Raw genomic sequence first — 27,308 nt, forward strand, 5'->3', positions numbered from 1 at the left:
TTTCTCATACACTCAATTTTCCCCCATGAATATTCAATTCTTGGCTTTGCCTCAATTTGGAAGGTCTCCTCCTGCCTGCTTCTTCTAAAAAGGAACAAAATCCAATCCTGCTCAGATGAGAGAAACAGTAATTGATAGTAATTTGCATTCAAACAAATTATTTCTTGCTGCTTCAATACATTATTTAAGGAAACTGAATGTCCAGGAAAATTCACACCATTATCAATAAACACATTTACTTCTATTTCCAGTCTATCAGCATGGGTCCCTTTACAGTTATCCAAAGCAAGAGCACTATATTTCAATATAAGTTACCATGCTTATTTACCCATGCCAAAGAGTGATTACAAAGTACTTGCAGCCTTTCAATATTGGGCACTTAATTACAGCAAACCCATGTAAGTCAAAAAGTAGATTTCTCCAAAGCAAAGTATATCTTCTTTCTCTTCTTTTTAAAAACTCCTATGAGATTGTGAAAATGTTCAAACATACAGAAAAGTTGAATTTTACAGTGAATACTCCTAGATTGATTCTATAGTTAACATCTTGCTATACTGGGAAAGGCTTCTTAAATTACAATTTTGGCTATATCACTTCTTTGAGGATCAAAAGCAGCATTTCCTGTTAGTTTATGTACAGTGCTGTAGTTTAGGCATTTGTTTCCCTAAACCTCATGTTGAAATGTGATCACCAGTGTTGGAAGTGGGGCCCAATGGGAGGTGTTTTGGTCACAGGGGCAGATCCTACGTGAATCGCTTGTGCCATCCTCGTGGTAATGAGTGAGTTTTCACTCTATTAGTTCCTTTGAAAGCTGGTTGTTGTTATAGAGACACAAATGGGCTAAGATACACAGTAAGAAAGGTCTGGTTCTGATATTTAAAACATGGAAGAATTTTTAATCAGAATGAAGTGGGCGTTTTCTAGACTCACCATGAAAATAAAATATTCTCATTTTGAGACAGTTTTTTTTGGTGAGGGCGTGGAGAATTGAATAAAGAGAAGTCAGTAAAGTACCATGACGAAAAATAAATGAAGTGGCCTAGACACTAACAAAAATATCTGAGTTAAAGAAACAGTATTTGGAGAACAGAGAATAATTCACAACCATGCATGCCATACAATGCACACTGATCACTCACACCAACTGTGCATGATACTGTTTAGAAATTCTAATCTGTTCTAGCTCTAACATTGCTAACTCTCTAGCAGAAAATACACAGGCAGTAAAACAGTCCCTATAGACATTGTAATTATAGGAGGCTCAGCCCAGTTATAACTGAAAGCACATGACCTGGTAAGATGTTACAAAATAATAGCTGTCAGCAAAGGAGGGCTTATAATTTCAAAGGATACTTTTTATTCTGCTTTAGTTTAAGGTGACAAGAAGCTATTTAAGTGATTACATTTGACCAAATGTAGCACTAATAGCCATTGTAATCTTCTCCGCCAACAAAATAAGACAATTTAGAAACATTGTTTTACTTGTCTTCACACTTTGGAGGTAGAAATCATGAAACATTAATCTCATGATTACCATAATTATGCTCTCAAACAGCCCAAGTGAAAGAACAATCATTCTCACAAAATGGTGCCATAATGGTTAAAGCTTAATGTCTTGCTAATGATCAAGATGTATACACAACATAAAATAAATAGAATTGCTTGTTGTCTGCTGAAGTTCTTGGCAATGCTAAGGTAAGTTATCATTTTACTCTTTCCAGTTCTCAATAGCCAGCCCTCAAAGAGCAAGGGGTGGTAGGACAACAGGAATGAGTGGAAATGGTCTTCTCTGTCGGATCCCTCCTAACTGCAGTCACTCAGTCTAGCAGGCTCAGCTTCCACTGGGTTCTTCTGTTGATCTTTGGTGGTATAAAAAGCTCAGCATCTAAAAGCAAGAAAGGAAGGGAAATTGTGACAGACATACTCTTGTTGGAGGGCGCTGAGGCAGTAACTCTAAACTAAACAAACTAGGCAGGTGGAGTTTGCAGCAATAAGACCATCAGAGCCAGAGTTCATGTGTCTGCTACCCCTGCAACCTCCAGGTCAGAGCAAACACAACCTGGAGGCCCCGCCCTGAGAGGAGGGACTGCATTTCAACCTCAGGCATGCTCACCCAGTGATTCAAAGTGGAAGAATGTTCTGTATTTCAAACTGGTGGGAGGGGTGGTGGCAGCAGTCACATGGCTGTATACATTTATTAAAACTCATCAAATTGTACACCTGAAATCTCTGCATTTCACTATATGTAAAGTCTAGCTCAATTTTTAAGGAATAGCAAAATGTGATAGCACATATTCAGTAAGTGAAGTTAATGGACAGGAACTACTTTATGATGAAACTTCGACAAACATGTTGATCAATAAAGATGCCCCTGCTTTAAAAAAAGTGAATGGAGAGAGAGGGTTAGGAAAAGATTCTGTCATTGTAACCTAAAACTCCCAGGCACTCTTTCACTTAGATTTGTTAAGTTTCTTTTCTAACCAGGAATCATATACTGCAAGCAGAGATAGGAGAAAATATGTATATATAAGGATTTTCTTTTTCAGCATTATTTATGATAAACTTCCAGCAGTAAATCTGTACATATGAGCCATGCAGGCATGAAAAATTACAGTTGATCCTTGAATGTAGGGTTATGGGTGCGGACCCCCCTGCACAGTCAAAAATCTGCATATACCTTTTTTTTTTCTTTTTTTGAGACAGGGTCTCATTTTGTTGCCCAGGTTGGAGTGCAGTGGCACGATCATGACTCACTGCAGCCTCGACCCCCTGGGTTCAAGCGATTCTCCTGCCTCAGCCTCCCAAGTAGCTGGGACTACAAGTGTACACCACCATACCTGGCTAATTTCTGTAGAGACAAGGTTTCACCATGCTGCCCAGGCTACTCTCAAAACTCCTGGTCTCGTTCCACCCACCTCAGCCTCCCAAAGTGCTGGGATTACAGGTGTGAGCCACCACACCTGGCCCCATGTTTAACTTCTGAATCTCCAAAACTCAAGTACCAATAGCTTACTGTTGTTCGGCAGTGTATTGGCAGCATAAAAAGTCAGTTAACAAATGTTTTGTATGTTATATGTATTATATACTACATTCCTACAATAAAGTAAGCTAGAGAAAAGAAAATATTAAGAAAATCATAAAGAAAACAATATTTACTATTCATTAAATGGAAGTGGATCATCATAAAGGTCTTCATCTTTGTCATCTCCACGTTGAGTAGGCTGAAGTAGAGGAGGAAGTGGAGGGGTTGGTCTTGCTGTCTCAGGGGTGGTAGAGATGAAACAGGTAGGGGAGGTTAAAGAGGAGGCAAGAGAGGTGGGCACACTCAGTGTCACTAACTTTACAGAAATACACCATAATTTCTGATGTTTTTGCTTTTTCATTTCTCTAAGGTACCAATCCTTCCACAGTTTCTTTTAGTTTCAGTGCCCATAACATAGAATCATCCATGTTGTAAAAGAAGCCAAAGGCAGTCTTGAATAATTGGAACCTTTGGAACAAATGTCAATTTATTTTCTGGCACTGCTTCTTTTATGTAATCTTCCTCATTGTCTGGCGCTGGTTTGGAAGTACTCATCTCCATCAAGTCATCTTCTGTTAATTCCTCCGGTGTGATGTCTATCACCTCTTGAATTTCTCCAAGATTCCTATCTTGAAATCCTTCATGCACCATTTTTTTTTTTTTTTTTTTTTTTTGTGCCAGATCCACAATCTTTTTCATGATTTCCTTGATTGGCTGTCGTAAAGCCTGTGAAGTCATGCACATCTGGACACAGTTTTCTCTAGCAGGAATTTATTGTCCTGGGCTTGATGGCTTTCACAGCTTTTTCTATAACAATGATGGCATCATTGATGGTGTAATTCTTTCAGACTTTCATGTTCTGTCAAGGTTCTTTTCCATACATTTGACAATCCTTTCTATAGAGTACTGTTTGTAACGAGCCTTAAAGGTCCTTATGACACCCTGATCTAGAGGCTGAATTAGAGATGTGTGTTTGGGGGCAAGTAGATCACTTCAATGTCTTCGGTGTTGAACTCATGGAGTTTGGGGTGGCCTCGGGCATTCTCCAGTATCAAAAGAACTTTAAAAGGCAGTCCCCTTACTGGCAAGATACTACTTAACTTCAGGGACAAATCGACAATGGAACCAATCCAGAAAAAGTGTTCTCCTTGTCCAAGCCTTCTTGTTGTATGGTACAACCAAAAGCCTGGCAGCTGGTGTTAATCTTTTCCCTTCCAGGCTCGGGGGTTAGCAGCTTTACAGATAAGGGCAGTCCTGATCATAAACCTGACTGCCTTTGCTGCTGCCTCCTGGATGGCAGGAGCTGCTTTTCCTATTATCCAGACATTTACAAAGCCAAACCTCTTTCTAAAATTATCAAACCATCCTTTGCTGGCATTAAATTCTCCAGCTTTGATCCTTCATCTTTTTGCTTTAAGTTCTCATACAATGACTGTGCTTTTTCTCAAATCATAATAGTTGTATAGGTATGCCTTTCTCATAGCAATCCTGCACCCACATAAAAGCTGCATCTTCAATACAACATAAAAAGGTATTTTGCAAAAAGTACAAGGTTTTCATGCCTGCTGGCATAACTGCAGTGACAGCTTCATAAATTTCCTTTTCTTTTATAATAGTCCTTGCACTGGGTTCATTTATCTTGAAGTGGTGGGCAACTACAGCTGCAGACCTCAATCTATAGTACATATCGAGCAAGTCAACTTTTTCTTGTAATGTTATGACTTTTCTCTGCTTCCTGGGAGCAACACTTGTGGTACTTCCTATAGGTCTCATGGTGTTATTTAAGGTTTACGATATTACATTAAACGTGATAAAAAATACACGACAATGCAAGAGATCACTTTTCGCTGCCATATGCAATTAATGGAGACTCTCATGTGCTGCTCATGTGGAGATGGTTAGCGGCACATGGCATTTTAAGCAGATATTGGTAACACTTGAGCTCACTCACCACAATAGCAACAGGAGGTAGCTACAAAATTATTACAGTAGTGCAGTACATACTACAGTTAATTTTATGCAGTTATGATTTAATACTACATCTTTATGTTTGTTTACATTTCTCTCCACTAAATGGTGCCATAAAGATATAAGAATATCAATACTGAAAAAAGGCTACTTAAATAAATTCACTATCAACAAGGTATTTCATAAATTCCAATTAAAGTTGGAATAAGACTTTATCTTAAAAAAACTAGTTACAGGCCGGGCGCGGTGGCTCACGCTTGTAATCCCAGCACTTTGGGAGGCCGAGGCGGGTGGATCACGAGGTCAGGAGATCGAGACCATCCTGGCTAACACGGTGAAACCCCGTCTCTACTAAAAATACAAAAAAATTAGCCGGGCGTGATGGCGGGCGCCTGTAGTCCCAGCTACTCAGGAGGGTGAGGCAGGAGAATGGCGTGAACCCGGGAGGCGGAGCTTGCAGTGAGCCGAGATTGCGCCACTGCACTCCCGCCTGGGCCACAGAGCAAGACTCTGTCTGAAAAAAAAAAAAAAAAAAAAAAAAAAAAAAAAAAACTAGTTACAAAAATAATGTGCTCTATCTCATTTTTTAAAATTAGGCATAACTACAACTATATTTGATTCTAGACTTAACTTGAAATAAACACAAAGTACAGACTTTTGGGCAAGAAAGTAATTATTCTGACAAATTATATGACAGCAGGACATGACATATTTCACATTTCCATATGTGGATTTCACAGCACACAAAAAAGGCCATTTTTATAAAAATAACTTGAGGGCTTTTCAATTTTTCTAAGGACCTCTCTCAATCCTTTGATAGTCAAAATCATTTGAAGCACTTATTTTGTCATCAATTGCAACAAGTCCAACCCAGCTGTGATTCAAGTACTTTTCCAATATCATTTTAATCTATTTTATGTAATACTAAATTTTTGCAAGACTTGCAATTGATCTGCATGATATTGTATTGCATCAAAGCAGGAAACAATCAGAAATGACCCATCAAGTCATTGATTTCACTTGTGGGGATGTGCCAATATACTTAACTATTGTTAGCTGGGGAGGGGCAGCTGAGTAATATTTGAGTGGCACTAATTTTGTGATTAGTTCATCAGTGGCAATTTTTGAATTATAGGAACTTACCTTTTCCTATACATCCTTGAAACCACAAGGGTAATGATAATAAACACTCAGATAATGAGGGGCTCTCAAATATTACAGAGTGTCTTTAAGGCTCAGCTGGAAAACAAGAAAGTGCTCTTTGAAGTGGGAAAGCCATCTAGAATACCCTGGGGAATGATGGGACTGACCTAACCTGAAGGTCAGCATCAGGCCAGCAACGAGGAACACAGGAGGCAGAAATCACAACTGGATTGGACTACAGCACAAAATAAACAATGACCAAATGGCCTCAGGTCTAATGTAAGTTCCTAGCATCTGGGAAATAAGTGGGCTGGGCACAGGGGCAGACGCCTGTAATCCCAGCACTTTGGGAGGCCGAGGCAGGAGGATCACTTGAGACCAGGAGGCTGAGACCAGCCTGGGCAACATATTAAGACCCCATCTGTTTTTTTTTCTAAATGAAAAAACTTAAGAAAAAAAAAGGAATAAGTGGATATGTCGAAACTGATACCAAAAGAACCTTGCCATTCTCTAGACAGAAGAGGAGCTAGGAATACAGTAGTTACAGTCTGGATGTATGAGTTTAGCTGGGATGGAAGGTAGCTGTTCTTCCTGGTAGCAACATAAGCTGTTAAAGTCAAACTTAATTTGAATCCCCACAGGCTACTTCAAATGTCATCAAAATGCTATTACAGTGTAGCACTTCGGTGAAAAAAAATTTCAGAAAGTTGCTTGTCACATGCTAGAAATGCAAATAATAGCAGTTAAAACTGCCAATTATTTTAGAAACTATCATTCACTTTTCAAAGCTAAGATGCTTCATTGATCCAACTATAAGTAAGGGCAAATACTGAAAGTCCCAAGCTGACTCATCAAATGTTTCTAACCAACTTTCAAAAGAAAGCGCTTAGGGTTTTTAATTTTTAGGGATATAAGTAATCTAATTGAGAATCATCTCCCCTCAACAAATAAAACACTTCATGCATAACTAAACAGGAAATATGTATAAAATGCTAATATTCTTTGGATTTGCCTTCAAATTATATTGTCAATCCTAAACATAATAAAAAGGTCCCACTCATAAGCAAGGTTTATGAAAATGCCCCCAAGATGCAAAGCATAACTGCCAATAGCCAGTAATGATGCTTCAGAAGAATCTTTTGATGTATATGTAAATGTAGACAGTTTAGACTGAAACTGGAACTGTGGTGTGCCTTTATGAACAAGCATATGCCACATAAATATTTTTAAAAATTACACATACAATGGTCATGCTGGATTTTCCTGCACCAGGTCCCCCACCGCTAGAAGCATGAAACTGATCATACTAAAGATGCGGTCTTAGAATTGAGGAAGAATTGTAGTCAATTTTTTGTAGTGAAAAATTGTATCCAATCTCTCCTTATACTGCTGATCTTCTCAATACTTACAGAAAGATAGTCCTTCTGCTTAGTATTGTAATATTAAATGAGAAAAAATACTAACCAAGAACAGGAACCGAAGTCTTCTGTTGCTGATAAGATGCCATGATACTATTTGCAGTAGAATTGGGACCTAGAACCTGAGGAGAAAATAGACTGTATCAGCAAAGATTATCTAATACTTCTCAAGACTGCCAATACCAAAGGCCAAATCCCTACCCCCAGAAAACAGCCTGTCATTTCTACTGGTATGGTGTGAAACACAGTAATTCTCTTTCCCAATGTGATTTTAATTTGCCAGTTTCTCCAGCTGCAACTCAGACTTCTAATTCTCCTTTCTCCCAGAACAAGGTAAAGATGGGGGGTGGAGGAAAAGAAAAGAAACGAAACTCTACAGTGATATATCTTGGCCTTTTCTAAATGAGCAAACCACTCCCTGAGGAAAGGGAAAAGAGTAAAAGAGGCTACAAATACGTAGAGTATCAATTATACGCAAAGAGTTATGGGAAACAAACATTTTTAGGTTGAAATAAATACAAACATGTGCATACTATGGAGCAGAATGGAAACTGTGCACATGTGCTCCAGGTAAAACACAAGACTCCGCAGGAATTTCAAGCCTGCAGCGAGCCTCTGGGCACACCCCTGGTTAGTGCAGACCCTTGGTGGCACACTCTCAAGAGCAATGCCATGAGAAGTCACTCACGGTATCCTGCACATACCACAACCATACTTCACCAATCAAAACCACAATCATAAAATTGATGTCTTAGAACTTAATGTGGGAGGCATGGTGGCTTACACCTGTAATCTCAGCACTTTGGGAGGCCAAGGCAGGAGGATCACTTGAGGCCAGGAGTTCAAGACCAGCTTGGGCAACACAGCAAGACTCCCTCTCCCCATGTCTAGGAAAAAATTTTAAAATTAGCTGGGCATGGTGGTGTGCACCTGTGGTCCCAATTACTCAGGAGACTGCGGTGGGAGGACTGCTTTAGCCCAGGCATTCGAGGCTGCACCAAGCCATGATTGATCATACTGTCACTGCACTCTAGCCTGGGTGACAGAGCAAGAAAAAAATAAAATAAAATAGACCTTAATGTGAATATGTGATCAGAAGAGAAGATCACTCATGGGAGTGGTATTATAAATTATTATCTTCAAGCCGGGCATGGTGGCTGATGCCTATAGTCCCAGCACTTTGGAGAGGTGAGGTGGGCAGACCACTTGAGCCCAGGAGTTGTTCAAGACCAGCGGGGACAACTTGGTGACACCCTGTCTCTACAGAAAATTTGAAAATTAACCAGGTGTTGTGGCATGCGCCTGTAGTCCCAGCTACTCAAGAGGCTGAGGTGGGAGGATCACCTGAGCCCGGGGCGGTGGATGCTGCAGTGAGCGGTGATCACTGCACTCCAGCCTGAGCAACAGAGTGAGACCCTGTCTCAAAAAACAAAAACAATTATCTTCAAAAGTACTACAGTTTTGAAGATGATGATCACATTTCTTCTAAGAAATACCTATTATAATAAATTCAAGAAGTTCTGGGGCCCTGATTCCTAGTTGCTTTTATTTCAACGGTTTGTAAAGTGCTTTTACACACACCCTCTTATTTAACCTTCAAAGCATTCTATTGAAGCACACAGAGAAGTCTTATGCCCATTTCTAAATGAGGAAATCAAGACATGATAAGCGTATGTGTTTCTAAACACTGAGCTGATTTGTAATCTCTCAGCTCCAACCCACCCTTCTATCCACTGCTTGTGGTGCTGGGGCTGGGCACCTGAAAGATATTCTTCCTTGCTGCTGGCTTCCCATCATGTCCTGCCTACAGTGAACACCAGAGGGGGAGTACAAAGCTGGAGGATGAACAAAAGATTTCTAGATTTCTTCCGTGATTGGCTGGCTTTTTTTTTTTTTTTTTTAAACGGAGATTCGCTCTTGCTGCCCAGGTTGGAGTACAATGGCACGATCTTGGCTCATCACAACCTCTGTCTCCCAGGTTCAAGCGATTCTCTTGCCTCAGCCTCCTGAGTAGCTGGGATTACAGGCATGCGCCACCATGCCCGGGTAATTTTGTATTTTTAGTAGAGACGGGGCTTCTCCATGTTGGCCACATTAGTCACGAACTCCTGACTTCAGGTGATCCGCCTGCCTTGGCCTCCCAAAGTGCTGGGATTACAGGCGTGAGCCACCACCACACCTGGCCCGACCGGCTGGCTTTTCCCCCAGCAGCAGCTGTTCCTTCCAGTTTCCATTTACTTCTGTACGCTTGGAACCAGCTCCCTCAGAAATGCCAGGATTAGCTGGCTGGCACCCTCCTCTCAGAGGTTCAAGAGCCAGCTCTACAGGGCCCCACTTCCAGGCTTCTAAATTCTAATAATTCCCAACAACTCCTCCTGTTCCCTCAGCTAGAGGGTAAAGCTGCTTCCTACAGTTACTATCTCAATGTCCTTCCTCTGTATTTCCCTTTTGCCTTGTTTAGTCCTCTAATACTTATTTAACAAATCCATATATTAAATTCTGTGATAAAATAATAGATAGGCTTTTGTTTTCCTTTCTAGATCTTGACTGATACACCAGCCTTTTTGAATCCAAATAAAAACTCTTAACAATAGACTTGAAGTATAAGAGAGTGAACAGAGGTATAAATAATAAACAGATGACAATATACTAGAATTCTGCGATACAAAGCTGATTCAGCCTTAAACACAACCCGCAAAGTCCATCATAACAACATAGAAGTGACAAGTCAAATTTTTCATAAAACAAAAGGAAAAGCAATTGCCTGGGGTCCCTTTAAAGCCTGATCCCATCCCTGAGTTCTGAAAGGAAAGTGAGAGGCCGTCTCTGACCCCATCTTCCCCCATCTCTCCCCACTCCAACCTCATTGAAGGCCAGGAGCAATCATGTGACTTTCCCATTTTCTCCATGACAGCTACTTCATCCAGAAAGGAAAATGACAGTCCATTTAACCTATGCCAAGGTATACTAGTCACTCTACAGGCAAATATCAAATCTTACTGACAGCTTACACATAAATCTAAGATAATTTAACTATGGCATCTTATGTTTTAAGAACAGGAAAACTTTTTGACTTGGAGATTGTGTGAATACAATAACCCATGAAAATGATGAAAAAAATGCACACCGTCTCTGAGAAAACTTACCGGGGTAGCTGAATTCTGCTGGTAAGTAAGAGTCCAAATTTCTGGAAGTGACCTTTCCATCAACTGCAGCGTATCTTCAAAGGCCTTCTGTAATTCCCTTCCTTGTTCATCAAACTCAAAGAGAAAGAGTACCTTTAAAATATGGTATACTTCATCTAGAGAGAAGAAATTTGAAAGAGTGGTAAGTTATATTCCCAGCTCCATTGACAGAATCATACATAGCTTCTATCCAAAGCCAAAAATTTCTATGATCCCACTGCAGGTCCTTTCTCCCACATTATCTTTTTTCTTCCCAAATGCTGGAATAATTAAACACATGTACTACAAAAAGAAAATCAAGCACGCTGGGGGGCCTACGCAGAAAGCAGTGTCCCACAATTCTTTATCCTGGCCTAAGCATCTCTCCCAGTTCAGTTAGGGGGATGCCAAATGGAGGAAGGCTTCTCAGTTACCAGCTAAGAAGGGCTGCTTCAGGAATGTGTGCAGACATGACCCTTCCTGCTAAAAGTTCTCATCTTTCCTCAAATTGGGAAAATGGTAGCTTAATCACCTACTGAACTCTGCCTGTCTGTACTGCCTATTCACTATTGTTTGTGGTCAGGAATCATCATCAGGACTGAGAATATACCTTTCAGGTTTTCAGTGTTCTGCACCACTTCACTCAGTGCCTCCAGGAGGGCCAGGTCCTCCAGCGGACTGCCTTCTTTGAGGCTGTGCTTCTTCCGCTCCGCTTTTCGGCGATTCTTGGATGATCTCCTGTTAGAAATTACACAGATATTTTTAAGCCTCCTGAGTAGCTAGGACTACAGGCATGTGCTACCTTGCCTGGCTACTTTCTTGCAGTTGCTGATGACCCCACACAACTTCACAGATCTCCATTTTAAATTCCTAAAGCAAAATTCAGTTTGAATATATAATCTTGCATTGCTTTACACATCCCAAGCAAGACTATAAACTCTTATAACTCATATCTCCTTATAAGTTTTTGGTAACATCTACTGCACCTACCATATGAGTGCTGAATAAATATTTCTGACAAATTACTATATTTGGTAAAAGTGTTATGACTTATTTTACATTTATGGTCTCTTCCAATCCTGATTTTGAATTGAAGAAGCTTATCTTTTCATTTTTTCAGTGCCTATAATTTAGTCACAACATTTGTTCAAAAAATAAAATCAGATGTTAATATAAACTGAGCATTCAGGGGAGGAACTGCCTCGTGGGGAATGGGAAAACACACAAGCCACAAGGCTGAGGAAGAAAACCTTCCAATGCCAAGTTTAATGTCTCAGATATGCTGGGAAAGTGTCTGAACAACTTCCACACAGCGCTGAAGAATATTCTCCCCACTCCCACTACACCGTCCCAGTAGAAAACCAATCTATTTGCTTCCACTTTCCCTATATGCCCAGGATATAGTCAATGTGCTGAATCAATGTGATACGTACGCTGATATCCTGGAGTTACTATGGGAGTATTTGCCACTCATCTCACTGCCACTCACGACACTGCTAGTTTCAGAGAAGAGGTCTGACTCTTGCCCGTGGGGTACCTCATCATCTAGAAAAGAAGAACCAGAAGCCGATGAAAACACTGCCTGCTAATGTGTGGGTTTACTTTCAGGGCGGTAAATGAACTAACTAGAGTCAACTGGTGCATATCAAAGGATGGATGAAAATGATTGCAAAGTTGATCTCAAAATGAATGAGATAATATTAAATACAGTAATTACTAATGTAAATCAGTAGTTTCCTGAACTTTTTTCTGGAAATGAGGAAACTCATTTTGTTAGACACGGAAGTGGTCAGCTGCTCTGGGTGAATGGGGGTAGGTGGGAATGTCTGGCAGAGCTCTCCCCATTCATGCTTGGTCCTGCCCTTCACCAACACACAAACACAGACACAGAGGGCCCTGAAGGGGCTCCACAGAAGCCTCACACTTGCCCATGGCACAGTAATCAGATTGCAGGCGGATCACCAAGCAATCTAGACAATGTGTGGCGTTACCCAACCCCACTGCCCCCGCACGTCGATGGCCTTCACGCAGATACTCACCCAGACCTGCCTGCTGGGCTTGCTCCTTGAGCTCTCGAACTACCAATAAACGTTTCTTGTGGCGACTGAATGTGGCTGTCTGAGAGTCCAGAAATGCCATATAATTTTTCTGGGCTGGAGATGCAGAATGGAAAATAGTTTGAGCATGAGGTTTAAGCAAAGAGAAAAAACTAAAGGCGGGGAGCAGTGAAGGAGGGTTAAAATTCAGCAAAAAGAAAGAGGTTACTAGGTTTTCCAAGCGAGCTCTTTTTCCTTAATAAGCATTAACAAATTAGAGACTGAGATTCCAGATCTTAGAGTTCATCAACATTATCCCAGAATATGCGCTACCACTGAACTTGTAAAATCACCTGAACGAAGACTTGATACCTAAAGCAAGGGAGGATTGGCAAAACAAACAAACAAACAAAACAAACAAACAAAAAAAGGGGGGGTAGGGGAGGGGAGCTCAGTTAACAAAAATAAGAAGAAAATTACCTAAATGTTTCTGGCTAAACATCCATCAAAATGCCCATGGATGTGGAAAAAATGTATCTAATAAATATTGTCCAATGGAAAAATACACAAGAGAAAAATAACACTAGTAGAATACATTTTAAAAAAGCAAAATACTACTATCCAAGGATGCATTTTATTAATAGGTTTTGGGCCTATGTAGATGAATTATCGGCATTTATCTAAGAAAGGTTCTCATTAGTGGTGAAAATCTAAGTAAGAGCTGGTTAGATTATTATAGATGAGGAATGATGTTTTCAGTACCCAGTTAGAGGTACCTAAAGTGAATGACATAAAAAGTACCCCAGCAACGTTTTAATTAGGATGGAGGAAGGGGGTGCAGACAAGGTAAGAATGTGCATACATGTAAATGTCAGAAAGGCCAGACGTTACTTACAGGGTAGATGTGCATAAAAATGCAGAACTTAAAATCAACCACTCCCTAAGGTTTCTATAAGTCAAACTGATGTCCTTCTCCACTTTGCTTTTAAGAGGTCACAGTGACCATCTGAGTATTCTAGAACTGGTAATATTCATATGTTCTCTAAGAACCACAAACTTCATTTGAAAAGGTAACTTTTAAAAAATACTTTGAAACGTTGAAACCTACATAAAAGTTGTAAGAGTTCAATGAACACACATATACCCTTTACTTTGATTTACCAATTACTAACATTTTGACATTTTTTTGCTTCCTGTTTCTCTGCATGCATACACACATTCATTAATACTTTTGTGGAACCTTTTAAGAGTAAGGCAGAGATATGATCCTTCATTCCTAAATATTTCAGCATTTATCTCTTGAGAATAATAGGATATTATCTTATATAACCACAACATGATTATTAAATGCCAGAAATTTATCAGTGTTATATTATTATCTAATATAGTTCATATTCAAGTTTACTATTTCCAAATACAAAGATTCTTAATCATATTTGATCACAGGTTTCTAACATTTAAATATTTTGTTACCATTTAATAGTTCAGCATATTTAAAAATTCTAGTGAGAATTAAATATTATATCCAGGTGGTAATTTTGATTGAGTCTACATGACATATTATTAAGAAAACACAGTAAATAGGAGGAGACTCTCTCATCTCTCTCTCCTCACCTTCTTCCAAATGAGGAATTCTATCTAAAATGGAACCCTCACCTTCTAAAATGGAAGGCTTTACGTTGGTTTCTATAATATCCAGTCTGTTATATTTGTATACCTAGAAGGAAAAACACAATAATTTTAGGAAGGAAAACTTCTAGTCACTGGAGAGTTAAGATACTTAGAAAGACATGGATTACTTTCAGAGGTAATCAGAATATTTTCCTGAAAAACAGGCCTCCTACAAGGCAGCCAAGGAAATTCAATTCATTTCAGTAAAAGACAGTAATATTTCAAATTATTATCAAGAATGATAAAAATGATTTTAAAAACACCGCTTTTCCTTAAGCCAGGAACCTGACCTATTTCTACTTATTTCATGAACCTCAGAAGACAAGAGATTCCAACTGACCTGGAATCCCTTGCTTGCTCTCTCTGCTTAGCACCCAACATCCAGAGGATTTACAAGATTCTTACCAGCCTCAAAGCTTCTTCCCAGGCAGCTCCTTCTAACAGCAAGAGCACAGCTTCTTCATAATCCTGACAAGGGAACAGGAAGAAGACAACAAGTGAAGAGAGCATGTCAGATGTCATCACAGCCAACTACAAAACTAACCACAGACCTGCCTCTATCTCCCTGGCCAGGGGAGAACTCCTAGTTCTCAACATCATGCCTATCCTAGAGTTCATGACTCCATAAATATTGATACAAAAGACAAGGAAGGGGTGTAAATCCTGAAAATAATGACAAAACACAAGGTAAGCATCATCTCTCTGCACGCCTGGACATCAAAACCACCAGAAACGTCTGTTAGACATGCCCATCTCCCCAGCTTTACTACCAAGTTTGATTTAGCAGGTTTAGGTGGGCTCCAGAATTGTTAACAAGACCACCCTTTGAAAAAATAGTAGACTAGAATAGCAATCTTCTAAATTTTTTTTTGTTCTTTTTTTTTTTTTTTTCTCAGACAGGGTCTCACTCTGTCGCCCAGGCTGGGATGCAGTGGCATAATCACAGCTCACGGCAGCCTTGACTGCCTGGCCCCAAGTGATCCTCCTGCCTCGGTCTCCCATGTAGCTGGGACTACAGGAATATGCCACCACACCCAGCTAATTAAAAAAATGTTTTTAGACAGGGTCTCACTATGTTGTCCAGGTTGGTCTTGAACTCCTAGCCTCAAGCAATCCTCCTGTCTCAATCTGCCAAGCAGCTGGGTTTACAGGCGTTTGCTCATTTCAAAATTGATTTAACTGGCTTTCTGTTGTTGAGCTGCAGGAGTTCCTTACATATTCTGGATATTAAACCTTTATCAGATATAGGATTTGCAAATATCTTCTTCCATTCTATATGCTGTCTTTTCACATTCTTGACAATGTCCTTGATACACAAAAGTTCTTAATTTTTATTAAATCCAATTTATCAATTTATTGATTGTGTTTTTGGTATTAATTCTAACCATCCATTGCCAAATCCAAAGTCATGAAGATTTAGCCCTGTTTTCTTCTAAGAGTTTTATAGTTTCGTTCTGGTTTTGAGACAGGGTCTTGTTCTGTTGTCCAGGCTGAAGTGCAGTGGCGTGAACTCAGCTCACTGCAGTCTCAAACTTACAGGCTCAGGAAATCCTGCCACCTTGGCCTCCCAAGAAGTTGGGACTACAGGTGCACACCGCCATGCCTGGCTAATTGTGTTTTTATTTTTTGTAGAAACAAGGTCTTTCTATGTTACCCAGGCTGGTCTCAAACCCCTGGGCTCAAGTGATTGTCCCACCTCAGCTTCTCAAAGTGCTGGAATCACAGGCATGAACCTCTGTGCCCAGCCTTCAAGAGTTTTACAGTTTTAGCTCTTAAATTTTTGTTGATCCACTTTGAGTGGCCAGCAGTTTTTGAAAACTCGGAAAATACTGAATCTTTTGGAAAAAAAAAAAAAGAATAAACATGAAAGGTCATTAAAAAATTTCCTTAAACAATCATTGATCACTTAAAGCAAAAGCAATAACAAAGTATTATGGAGTGAATACTCTTGTAAGGTTTTTACACTATATATGAAGTAGTATACGATTATCTGAAGATATGGTCAGTTAATGATATTTATTATAAATCCTACAGCAACCACTAAAATACTGAAATGAAGAAGTATAGCTAATAAGCCAACAGTGGAGGTAAAATGGAATTATGAAAAATACTAAATCCAAAGGAAAGCAAAAAAAGAAAAAAACAAGAAACAAAGGATCAATGAAACAAACAAAAAGCAAACAGCAAGACTGTAGGTTTAAATCTAACTATATTGGTAATCACATTCAATGCAAATGTCTAAACCCTCCAATTAAAAGACAGAGATTGTCAAATTAGATTTAAAAAAAAAAAAGAACCAATAATGCTATCAACAAGGAACGCACTTTCAAAATAAAGACTACATTCAGCTAGATTAAAAGTAAAAGGATAGAAAAAGATATGCAATGAAAAGACTAACCAAGAGAAAGCTGGAAGAATTATATTAATAACATTAAAGTCAAATTCAGAATTAGGAATAGTAACAGAGAAAGAAGGATATCAAAATGAATACATCTATAACATACTCATAAACATGTATGCACCTATAACAGAGCTTCAAAATACATTAAGCAAACACTGGTAGAATCAAAGGAGAAATAGACAAATACTGGGAGACTTCAACACTTTCCCAGTCATTGATAGAGCAAGTAGTGAGGAAATCAATAAGGATATAAAAAGCTAGAACAGCATGATCAACCTAATCTAACTGACATTTATAGAACACTCCATCCAATAATAGTAGCTTTCATATTATTTTCAAATACACACACAACATTCTGTAAAACAGACCATATTATAAATTAAAATAAATTATAAATTTAAATTAATAAAATGTATGTTCTCTAATCACAACAAAATTAAAGTAGAAATTAATAACAAAAAGATGGCTGGCAAATCTCCAATATCTGCAAGTTAAACATACTTCTAAATAAGCCAAGGTTCAATAAAGAAATCACAAGGGAAATTAGGAAATGAAAACAAAACATTTCAAAATTTGTATAACATAACTAAAACGGTGCTTGAGGAAAATTATGGCATTATATGCTTAAACTATAAAGTAAGGAATCATCTCAAATCAATAGCTTTAAGCCATCACCTTGGTCAGGCACAGTGGCTTACACATGGAATCCCAGCACTTTGGGAGGCAGAGGTGGAGGGATCACTTGAGGCCAGGAGTTTCAGACCAGCGTGGGCAACTAGTAACACCCCATCTCTACAAAAAAAATTAAAAATTAGCCAGGCATGGTGGCATGCACCTGTAATCCCAACTACTCTGGAGGCTGAGGGGGGAGGACAGCTTGAATGTAGGAGTTTGAGACTGCAGTGAACCATGATCGTGCCACTGCACTCCAGCCTGAGCAAGAGTGGGACCCTGTTTCTTTAAAAAAACAACAACAACAAAAGAAAAAAATAAGAAAAAAATAAAAGTAAGCCATCACCTTAAGAAACTAGAAAAATAAAGAGCAAATAAAATAATAAAATAATAAAAAAAGAATGATATAGAATACAGAAAAATCATAGAGAAAAACAATGAAACAGTTCATTCTTTAATAAGATCAATAAAATTGATAAACCTCTGGCCAGAATAATCAGAAAAAAGAAGACACATCAATATCTAGAATGAAAGACAGGACATCACCATAGACCCTACGGACAGTAAAATAAGAGAATACTATAAACACTTCATACCAATAAATCTGACAATTTAGATGAAATGAACAAATTACTTGAAAGACATAAACTACCAATGCTCATTCCAGAAGACACAGATAAACTTGAATAGGCTAATGTCTACTAAAGTAACTGAACTAATAGTGGAAAAGCTTTCATTAAAGAAAACTCCTGGCCGAGATGGCCTTACTGGTATATTCTACTAAACATTTAAAGAAAAAAATATCTCCCAAGAGCTGGGAGAAAGAGCTGAGCTGTCAGGTGTTGGAGTAGCTGATCAAAGCAACAAGTCAAAAATGAATTAAGCCTTCAGGCATTGCATTGGTATAAGCAAGAGGCTAAAACCAGGGAAAGCACCAACTCTCTCTGTTCCATTTTTTCCCAAGGAACAACTCACTAGTCAAGAGTCAGCTGGATCCACACAGACATGAGGGTTGGTTCACTGTTGAAGGAGCTTGGAAAAAAAGGCTTTAGCAGTTTGATGGATCTTGGGGGTATGGGTGCAAAGGAAGGGGGCTAAGGGTGGAAAAGTACTGGGTAGTGAGTCACAGTGGAAAAAAATGTCAAGGTTTTTCCACTCCTTCTTGCATAAACAGGCCTTGGCAGAGGTGCCTGAAGAAGACCTTGGCCCATGGCCTCAGATAGAGAGACCTAAGAATGAAAGTGCCAGGACTCTCAATGCAAATACTGTTACAAGAGCATGACTAACAGGGGGCCCTGAGTCCTTGACTGCAACTCCCTTTAGAAACTGTAATGCATTGGCAGTACGCCAAGTCTGGTGTAGGGAGGGCAGCTTTTCCCCATGTGGCCTCCTAGGTAAAGTCTGTAATTGTTTATGGTCAGGTCTGAAACATCACACATAGGTTTTTAACCATAAGCTAGACTCTCATACCAATTCTACATGAAATCCTCCAGAAAACAGAAGTGTAAAGGACACCACCCCTCATTTTTGTCACCCCTCAATGACAGCAGCATTATCCTGATACCCAAAACATGGCAAAGACACGAAAAAACTACAATATCCCTCATGAACACAAACACAAAAATCCTCAAGAAAATTTTAGTAGATCTAATCTGCCACAAGAGAAAAAGGGTAATAAATCTATAATACCAAGTGGGGTTGAACCCAGAGATGCAAGGTTGGTTTAACAGTAGAAAATCAATCACCTAGTCCCCCATATCACTCGTCTAAAAACAAAACCCTTCATAGTTGAAAATGCATTTGACAAAATTTAACACCCATTCATGATACAAACTCTCAGAACAAGGAACAGAAGGGAATTTCCTCAAACCAAGAGGGCAGGAATTGGCAAATTTTTCCTGTAAAAGATTAGACAGTAAATATAGGCCTTATGGGCCAAACTATCTGTGTCACAACTCTAACTCTGCTGCTGTAGTGTTAAAGCAGCCATACACAAGATGTAAACTAATGAGCATGGCTATGCTCCAATAAAGCTTTATTTACAAAAACAGGTGGCATGCTGGATTTGTCACAGGTTGTAGTTTGCCAACTCTGCAATAGAGAGCATTAAAAAAAAAAAAAAAAGCAAATATCAGGCCAGGCACGGAGGCTCATGCCTGTAATCCCAGCACTTTGGGAGGCTGAGACAGGCGAATTGCTTGAATCCAACAGTTCAAGACCAGCCTGGGCAACATGGCAAAACCCCATCCCTACAAAAAATACAAAAATTAGCCAGGCATGGTGGCATGTTCCTGCAGTCCCAGCTACTCAGGAGGCTGAGGTGGGAGGATCGCTTGAGCCTAGGAGGTCAAGGTTGTAGTGAGCTGAGATCACACCACTGCACTCCAGCCTGGGTGACAGAGCAAGACTCTGTCTCAAAAATAAAATAATATAGAATAAAATTTTAAAAAAGCAAACATGACACTTAATGCTAAAAGACAAGTGAATTTTCTCCAATATCAGGAAAAAGGCAAGGATGTTCACTCTTAACACTTCTATTCAACACCACACTGGAAGCCCTAGAAAATGCAATACAGATAGAAAAAAGTATTGATTGTAAGAAAGACATAAAACTATATTTATAGAAACCATGTTTGTTGATGTAGAAAATCCTAGAGAATACACCCAAGAGCTTCTAGAACTAATAAATGAGTTTAGCAAGGTTGCAGGATACAAGGTCAATTATACAGCCTCCCTGCAAAACACTTCAGCTATATTTCTATATACTAGTAATAAAACATTAGAAAATGAAATTAAAAACTAGTCAAGCCTTGAGATGACTCTAGCCCTGGCCAATACCTTAATTGCAGCCTTGTAAAGGACCCTGAGCCAGAGGCCCCAGCTAAGCCCAGCCAAGATTCTTGGCCCATTGAAAAAGTGGGATAATAGGGTCTGTTGTTTTAAGCTGCCAGCTTTTAAGGTAAGTTGTTACGTAGCAATAGATAATACATCTAGTGTCACAGTAATACACCCAGTGTTGGTGAGTATAGGAGTCACTGAAGCACTCTCACATATCACTGAGGGGAATGCAAAATGATACGGCCACTGCAGATTAGTTCTGCAGCTTCCTAAAAAGTTAAACATCCACTTACCACGGGATGTGGCATTCCTACTCCTGTCCCCATAAAGACCTGCACTAGAATGTTCATGGCTGCGTTATTCATAATAACCCCAAACTGAAAACAATCCAAATGTACATCAACTGGTAAATCAACAAATTCTGACATATACATATAATGGGATACTATTCAGCAATACAAAGGAATAAACTACAACATGGATGCATCTCCAATGCACTATGTGAGTGAAAGGAGCCAGATTAAAAAGACTACATACCATATGGTTCTGTTTATATGAAATTCTAGATAATGTGAAACTTTACTGACTGATCAGTTTGCCAAAGGCTGGCAGTGGAGGGAGAAGGCTGACTGCAAAAGGGGAAGTAGGGAACTTTTGGGGGTGTTAGAAATGTTCTAGATCATGAGTGCAATGGTGGTTACACAGCTACAAACATATGTCCAAATGTACTGAATTCTTCATCTAAAATTGGTGAATTAGCTTTATTATATGTAAATTATACAACTGTACAACACATAATTTTATTGTATGTAAATTACACAAAATAATTTTATGCATTAATCTTCCTTTACAAAGAAAAAAAGATAATGACATCTTATCCATTTAATTAACCCTCGATGTGGTATATCTTTCCAACCCAACCTATCTACCCTTTTAGGTATGTTTCATTCACTGGTATTTTCAATTCAATCACCCAACAAATATTCTCTCCAGGATCTAATTATATAAAATTTTAGTTATCGTCTTTCACTTACTGTTATTACACAAGAGACAATTAAATATTTTTAAAGCACAATTAAGTTACATAAATGTGCTATCAGTAACAACTGTAAAAAACACTCTCTCATCAAAGGTCAAAACTCTACAAGGCAATAATCCCTGGTGTCAACTGTGCACCTGTGTACTGTTAGTCTGTGGCCAGTGTTACTGCAGTTTTATTATTTTCATAATAAATCCTATAATACTACCAAATGCTCATATGGGTACTTATCCTTATAATCTGCTGTACCTCCAGGTCCCTGAGGTAAAAGAGACATTTCCAATAGGGAGAATGAGAGTAAAAGCCAAGAGTATGTAGCCTTCAATGATCCTGTTTTATAATGGTCCTTTCTCATTGTTTCTACTTTGGCAAACTCAATTTTAAAAAGCACAGCTACCTTGAGATGTAATTAAGTACTTTCTACCAAGGTCAAACCAGTGGTATGTTAAAGTAGAGCACCTTCATATTCTACCTCACCAAACTTAGAGATGTACTAAATTTAGATTTCCAAGTCAAGCCAGCAAGATAAGACCTCTGGGGCAAACACTATCTCTGGACTTAACAATTATGCACAGTTCCTTTAACTTTCATGATCACTAAGATACAATTGAGAAGACCTTTCTTGCTGACTGGGGGGTTTAGAAGGGAGGAATTGAGTTTACCTGGGCACACTCTTCCAAAACCATGGCCGCATCAATGTGCTTCCTCTGCTCAACCAGCTTTCCTGTAGAGACAATAAGCAGCAGTTGACTACAAAGTTAAACAGATACTTTAGCTCAAGTGCTTCTTTAATATGTCTTTATTATGTATGAAACTATGTACTTTCTGAATTTCTGTGAGGGAATAGGTATATACACCACAGAGTCCTATCTTAAATGGCAGCTAGAATCTAAATTTAGCACAGGAATTGAAAATCATATACAGCCAAAATTAGCCTTGAAAGATGCTTCCAAAGCATGTATATGGGAAAATGACCTGGTATCTCTCACTAAACCACTTCGTCCCTTAACAGTAAGAGACCACTATTTCTTTGGTTGAGCACTAGATGGAGGTAGCTGACTTATGTTTGAGTCATGCAGTGTCTTTAGATCCTAGAATCACTCTCAGCCCAATTGAGATAAACCACAATGAGAGGCACAGAGAACCCAAGGCTTTCGAAGGAGCTGGTAGATTCCGGTCTCTCATTGCATGCTCACTCCAGTGCATATATCACTAAAAAAAGTAGGTAAAATCACCTCCACTATTTAAATAGTTACCTTTCTTTTGCTCTCTTGTGTAAACTGCCTACGTTAAATGTACACACAGAGTGACTCCAGTGTGTAACATTTCTCAAACATCTTTGACCACTGCCCTCCCCACCTACTTTTGCTAAACATCTGAGAAAAACTAGAAATACTCCCTCATAAGACATGGGAAATAGCAAGCTAAGAGCTGTAAAGAATAGAAGAGATCCAAGAACAGAGATAGAAGGTATAAACAACCAATATCATAAATTTCTAAAGCAGAAAGGAACAATGGAGACCGAACGAATAACTAAAAGGCCTGAAATAAGGAATTCTCGACATTTGTAAAAAGAGGCCAGCATGGAAACGGAGGGATTTGGGAAAGGCTAATAACCAGAAAAAGAAAAGTGATAATCCCATACACTGGTATAATCCCAAGAAAAAAAGAATACTGCAAATGACAAAGAAGGACTGGTACATAAATTTAACAAAATTTAACAGGATAGAGTTTGGAATTTTTTTAGGACTGCTTTTTATTTTTTTCTTTGAGATCTCAACAATATTTACAAGTTAGGGAAAAAAATATACCAGTCATTGCTTTACTTCAAGCACTGCTGAGATGACCAGAGCTTCTGCTCATCTCTTTTCATAGGTGTCCTTACCCTTTCCTCCACTCTGGTACTAGAGCCCCTGGTACCAGCCTCGCCTCTGGTTCGGGCAACCCTTGTCCCTGACGCAGCTAAACTGCCTTTGCTTTCAGAATGCTTCGACATTTGGCCTTTTATTTTCCCCACCTCATTCCTGGCTATTCCAACAACCTACTGTCTATAACAGAATGGACCCATCCAAAAATTCATCTTTACCTTCTTACAGGGCACAGCCCATCCAGCTACATGGCGTGGCCGAGATGGAATAGAAGGTGATAGTTTAACTTCCATCCAGGTCATTTCCAACTTAAAGGTAAATGTTTTACCATGATTCTAACTTCTCCCCACTCTCCTTCCTTCCCCACAGCTGTGGAGATAACCCAGCTACAACCATCTGCCTAAAAGGTTGCAGAGCCACACAACGGAAGGGCCTATAAATCCCTATGGGAGAGAGAAATAAACTTCTTTCCATATTGGGCCACTGCATTCTGGGACTCTTGCTGTAGTAGCTTATCCTTTAAAGCATTCTAAATTAATTTTTATCAGTGAGAACAAGACTGTCTCAGAGTATTCTGCCCTAAATTTATTTGCAAAATTACCAAACAAAAGAAATAAATTTTTTAAAACCTTTGTAGATGTAAACATATAAATGATTGTACTTACCTGCCAGAGTTCTGCCGAGGCCCACCAGCTGGTCTTTGGTAAAGTTAAGCTGGGCTGCCACACAGAGGGCTTGCTTCCAGTTGCCACATGTCAGAAAGGCTGAGAGAGCTTTCTCGTGGGCACCGCAACGGGCAAACATGAGCCCCGCTGGCTCATACATGTGCTCCTGCATCAGGTGCTCCCCATAAGCAATGCTGATATCCTGTGACAAGAGGAGATTTAGGACTGAGGAGGAAATATGACAATCATTTCTCTAAAGCTCCAGTGTAGCTGCCTTAGTTCCTATACTTGGAACTCCCTTGAAAGAATTACCTGGGAAAATCTTACAGTTGATCAGTTAGTACAGTCATTTTTTCATTCAAAACCTTACTGAGGATGTGCCATTTATTCACTCAACAAATAATTACTCTTAACTACATATGCACCATTCTGGGCAGTATGGATACTACAGCAAGGCAAAAAATAAAACCAAACAAATGAAAAACCATATAAGAACCACCACCAAGTTGCTGCTCTTATAGTAACAGAGGATGGACTTAGGGACAAAATATAGTCTATAGCATAATGGCAAACGTGAGTAAAGGGACAGAGGACAGTCTCCTTGCAGCTCTCAGGGAGTGTGAGCTCTAATGGCTGTCAGGAGAATAAACCACGTGATGAGATAGGGGGCACCAGGCAGAGGGCAGAGAAGGCACCATGGCCATGCAGCAGGAATGTGTATAGCAGGTCTGAGGAGTAACAGGACGGCCAGTGTGACTAGAGCAGAGAGAGTGTGGAAGAGAACAGAAAACAAGGGCAAAGAGGTAGCCACTGGCCAAATCCTCGATTCTCCAGGCTGGATGTTAGCCAGAGATTCAGAGAGGAATACAACATGGAGTCCCTGCCCTTAAGGAGCCCACAGCCTGGTGGAGGCGACAAACCAGCTAATCAGCAGTTTGACAAATGCAATCACCAAGGCGAGGGCAGGCTGCTCTGGGGGCTCAGTGTTTGGCGCCTGGTCCAGGAATGGCATTCAGGAGTAACCCAAGGGTTCTGATGGACAAATGGGGCTAAAGGAAGGCTGGTGGGTAGAGAAATGACAGAGGAATCACACGATGTGACATCTGTAGAACTACCTACAAGTAACTGGGAATGTGGACAGTGGCAGAAGCTGGTGCTAAAGAAGCTGGCAGGGGCTTGATCAAAGAAAGATGTGTATATTGTCTGAGGACAAACTGAAAATGGTGATGCTGGTGGCATGGTAGAGTGGTGGTTAATGGCATGGGCAGGGTGGTCAGGCAGCCTGGGCTCTGTATCCCAGGTCCAGCACTTTGTAGCTCTGGATCCTCAGGCAAGTTGCTTCCTCATCTACAAATTGTGTACAGCACCCTATGAGGCTGTTAAGAGGATCATATAACACATTTAACTTAGAAGCAAAGTGTGTGGTATATAAAAAAAGCTAAAGGGATGCTTTTTCAAGCAAACAAAAATTTCCCTTTATGCTGAAATATATGGGAAAGATCTGTACTTGTTAGGATAATCAGACTTACAGCAGTAAGGTTGGGCTAGAGGAGGGGTGGGAAAGAAGCAGGGAACCCCACGAGGAAGGTGCTGTGGTATTCCAGATGAGGAATCAGAGAACAGGTCAGGACCATTCTCCCAGATAAGAAGTTCAAATTGAGGCTAATTAGTTTTAAGATAAATTTTGAAGCCAAGGATGGTGTTATGAACTTAGGATCCTCACTCCTTTCCTACTAAAGCAAAAAGCAAAACCAGGAGAGCCTCATTTTCACATACCACATACCTGGTACTGTTGTGAGCTTGGTGAATATAACTTCAGAGCTTCGTTATACAAGTTTTTATCTTTTATCAAGTTTAAGCATTCTGGGAAGTACTCAGGTCCTGCAGGAAAAAGATTCACACAAAGACAGGCTTAAGACATGGGAAGCATAATGGACTTCATTTATACCAATGGTCACCAAACAAAATAAATGAGGAACTTTTTAAGACCTAAATAATCAGAGAATCTGAAGAATGGGATCCTGGAATTTGAATTTTTAATGAGCACCACTGCAGATTCTGAGGCAAGAGCAGCACTGATTGGGATCAGCATCCTACTTAAGAGTCCCAGCTTTCCAGCCCAGTGTTTTCTCAGCCTCCTTGAAAAGACATCACCTGGGAAGCTTATTAGACACATGCACGCCTCAGTCCTATCCCAGACCACCTGAATCAGATTCTCCAAGGATGCCAGCAGCTGAAGGCTTAACATGCACCCCAGGTGATTCTTCCTTTCCCCCATCAGTCCTCAGTAAAGAATCACAACTGTTCCAGCATGGGAAGAACAACTGGCACCCCATCACTGTCAATTAAAACTGCGTCTTGCAGGGCACGGGGAGGTGGCCTCATCACTCTCTCCAGACAAGCAGAGTTTCCCTGACATGTCTGCAAACAGCATGAGAAGGAAGAACTGACAACCAATTTTGATTCTGAGACACTGAAGTTAACTTCACAGGTGCTCATTCTTAACCAAAAAAGGATCTACTTGACGTTCTTACCTAGGGAGCTCCTCCAGTTCATTAAAAGTGATTACCTTCAGCTTTTCAGAACACAGGACAAAATAACGTGAGCATACATAATTGTTAGAGTTTTCAGGAGTGGGAAGTGAAATCAGTCACTGTCTAAACTAACAGTTTAATTTATACCTTGCCTAGTTCCAAAGAAGATCTGAAGTAGAGATAAACATACTAATCCCCACACTTACCACATTTGCTGAGGTGGCCAATGGCTTTTTCATATCGTTTCAAGTATTTGTCTATAGTAAACCGCTGATAATTAGTTTCCATTTTCTTAAGTGTATTAAGAAATGGAAGATATTCTTTGGGATCCTAAAAAAATGATTAATGAGAACTTTATTACTTGTGATATTCATATATAGGAATAGAAACTAGCATTTACATATAGCAATAAACCCAAAGCTACATAATTTTTAAATGTGTATTATATATTAACTGCATATTATATAATATATAAAATCAAACTACAGTTGTCCCCCAGTATCTATGGGGAATTGGTTCCAGGACACCCCAAGGATACCAAAATCCAAGCATACCCCAGTCCTACATTTGACCCCATGGAGCCTGGATACACAAAATGTTGGCCCTCTGTATCTGCAAGTTTCAAATCCTGCAAATATTGTACTTTTGATCCACACTGATTGTGGATGCAGAAGCCGTGGACACAAAGGGCCAACTGTGTTTGAGAGAGATCCACATTTAGATAAACCCACACAGTTCAAACTCGCACAGTTGAAACTCACGTTGTGCAAGGGTCAGCTGAACATCAAACAAGCTTTGGCAAAAATGCTTTCACATACGGATATTAATAAGTTACACTTGGAATAATAGTAACTTCCTTAACTAAGTCT

At 39.6% G+C, this 27,308-nt stretch overlaps 1 protein-coding gene across 3 annotated transcripts in view; it reads right to left on the bottom strand.

The window, feature by feature from the left end:
- Nucleotides 220-27,308, bottom strand: part of ELP1 (elongator acetyltransferase complex subunit 1) — a 66,608-nt gene continuing 39,519 nt past the window's right edge. For all 3 annotated transcript variants that reach the window (NM_001318360.2, NM_001330749.2, NM_003640.5), the window contains 12 exons: nt 26,646-26,769; nt 25,689-25,786; nt 23,906-24,107; nt 22,035-22,096; nt 14,828-14,890; nt 14,408-14,468; nt 12,755-12,868; nt 12,149-12,260; nt 11,326-11,453; nt 10,698-10,852; nt 7,598-7,673; nt 220-1,885 (listed from right to left, as the gene is read on the bottom strand). In NM_001318360.2, coding sequence (NP_001305289.1) covers nt 1,818-1,885; nt 7,598-7,673; nt 10,698-10,852; nt 11,326-11,453; nt 12,149-12,260; nt 12,755-12,868; nt 14,408-14,468; nt 14,828-14,890; nt 22,035-22,096; nt 23,906-24,107; nt 25,689-25,786; nt 26,646-26,769 — 1,263 coding nt within the window. In that variant the 3' untranslated portion in view covers nt 220-1,817. The remainder of the gene's footprint in view (nt 1,886-7,597; nt 7,674-10,697; nt 10,853-11,325; nt 11,454-12,148; nt 12,261-12,754; nt 12,869-14,407; nt 14,469-14,827; nt 14,891-22,034; nt 22,097-23,905; nt 24,108-25,688; nt 25,787-26,645; nt 26,770-27,308) is intronic.

Source organism: Homo sapiens, chromosome 9, assembly GCF_000001405.40.
Source record: "Homo sapiens chromosome 9, GRCh38.p14 Primary Assembly".
Lineage (NCBI taxonomy): Eukaryota > Metazoa > Chordata > Mammalia > Primates > Hominidae > Homo > Homo sapiens.